The sequence below is a fragment of the Homo sapiens genome, chromosome 16 (assembly GCF_000001405.40).
Source record: "Homo sapiens chromosome 16, GRCh38.p14 Primary Assembly".
NCBI classification, from domain to species: domain Eukaryota; kingdom Metazoa; phylum Chordata; class Mammalia; order Primates; family Hominidae; genus Homo; species Homo sapiens.
The window spans coordinates 86,153,727-86,156,260 of record NC_000016.10 but is presented as its reverse complement, the minus strand read 5'-3'; positions in this window follow the sequence as shown (position 1 = coordinate 86,156,260).

Below are 2,534 nucleotides of genomic sequence, written 5' to 3'. Positions count from 1 at the left end.
CTCTACTGCTACACGGTTTTAATTGCAGTGTTTACTGGGTCTCCACAGTCTAATTAGATCTGTTCTGTCCACAAAGCAGATATTTCAAAGACTTCCCAGGACAAAAGCCACCCTAGACAGTGGGATTCTACACTTGCAAAAAAACAACGTCAACAACAAAAACAAACCAAGAGACACAAAAACATCAAAAGTAAAGCAGCAAAATGTGTGTATTTGGAATTATAGGCACCAAGGTGCTCATGTGACTTGGTTTCAACTGGTAGGATAGTATTGTCTGTTTTCTCCTTTTCTCTGACTATGTGTAGTTTTTAATTTTTCTGAAGTGAACCAAAAAAACAAAGAAGTTTGTTTTTTAACTGCTTTGTTGAGATACAATGTAATACCTTATAACTGATTTATTTAAAGAGTACAATTCAATGATTTTTAGTATATTCAGAGATAATGTGCAACCATCACCATCATTGATTTTAAAACATTTCATCAGCTCAAAAGAAACCCTGTGTCTCTAGCAATCACCATCAATTTCCCCCAAATTCTAGGCAACCACAAATCTACTTTCAGTGTCTAGGCATTTGCCTGTTCTGGACATTTCATATCACTGGAGTCAAGCAATGTGTGGTCTCTGTGTCTGGCTTCCTTCAAGAAGCATCATGTTTTCAAAGTTCATACATGTGTCAGAACTTCATTCCTTTTTATCACTGCACAATATTCCCTTAAATTAAATATTCCATTTTTTTATTTAAAAATTTTTTAATTTGAGACAGAGTTTCACACTGTTACCCAAGCTGGAGTGCAGTGGTATGATCTCTGCTCACTGCAGCCTCGAGTCTCGGGCTCAAGGTTTCCCCCCACCTCCGCCTCCCAAGTAGCTGGGACTACAGGTGCATACCACCATGCCTGTCTAATTTTTGTGTTTTTTGCAGAGACAGAGTCCCACTCTGTTGCCCAGGCTGGCTTCAAACATATGGCCTCAACTAATCCTCCTGCCTCAGCCTCCCAAAGTGCTGGGATTACAGGTGTGAGCCTAATTTCAAAATTTTAACAGCTACCATAAAAGCAGCAATGAAATGTGATGTGACTGCCCAGCTGCTCTCAGCCTCTGGAAACATTGCACGACTGTTTCCCAGATCCTTTCTCTGCTTGTGGGGACCGAAGCCCATCTGGGACCCTCCCAGCCCTCCCCTCTTTATGAGGTTTTGGGGACAGAAGTTCACTTCTTAGCTTCCTGCTGTTTTTAGTCCAGGCAACTCAAGGGACCAGATGGGGAAATAATTCAGCTTGTAGAGAAAATATTTTTAACTAAAAATTGGACATTTAGAGGTCTTTCTCTCCACTGGACCTGCCCCATGCTGTAGCTGCCAATCTGCATGAAGGAAGGAGGGGGATAAACATGAGCCCAATGCAATCATTGGTTTGTTCAGCAGTGATTGTAACTGCAGTTGGGGAACGTTAGGAGAATTGAAAGAGCAAAATCGTGTGCCAGGGCCAAATGGAAGAAGAGCTTGCTAAGCCTTAGCTCCCCTTTTTCTCTTTGAACTCCTGTGCTATTTGTTATCCAAGGAACACCTAGGAACTCAAGAACACTAAGGAAAATTCTGGGCAAAACATATCCAGTCCTCAACTTTACTATGGGTATCAGGAAGGCAAGAACCAAGCTTTCCTCATCTCTGTAGAGCAGACCTGGTACATCAATTGGAACATGCTGAATGAACACAACAATGAATGAATGTGGAAACACCTGGAGGGTAGAGACTAGGCTGTCATCTCTCTGACCCCAAGGCCTTGCACACAGTAGGTGCTCCACTGGTTCTAGTTCATAACTTGACAATAACACCATGATCATTTCTCTTCAAGAGCTTTGAACTTTTCCCCTCTTAGTTGGATTTTTTTTCTAAAACCCTTTACTTTTTAAAGGATAGTGTGGTAATACAAGCCAACCCTGAACTATCTGTTTAATCTTCTTTCCCCTAAATATTAGCTCAGTGGGAAAAGGAGTCTAACCTCTCTGTATATTTTTCTCTGTGTATACTTTTGGCCAGAAGGCTGGAAAAACCAGGACTAAAGCACGGTGCTTAGAGATTCTGAGAAAAGATGGGGAGCAAAGGCCGGCCAGAGGCAGGAAGAGGGGTGTCAGGAGGGCAAGAACAGATGGGACCCATCTCCCCTGGAAGGGCTGTGTCTGAGGGTTTGCTCGTCTTATGTGTGAGCAATTCTCCATGACAAGCCACTTGCACCTCTGCGACCCGACCCGAGGGGAGGACAGTTTCCAGCTGTCGCCAGTGCTCAGACCCACCTGAGCCCGCTGGGAGTGCCCTTCACAGAGCTCAGAAAACGCACAGCGGGCACCTTTGTGGTGCGCCCCTGCTCACAGTGCCATGTGGGCGCCAAGTGAGGCTGGGTGGTAGTGATGGTTGTACAACCCGCTCAATTTACTAAAAGTCGATGAATGGCACATTTAGCCTGGCTGGGTTTTATAGCCTATAAATTATAGCTCAACAAAGCTGTTAAAAAATAAAACATGCTCTTTGGAAAAA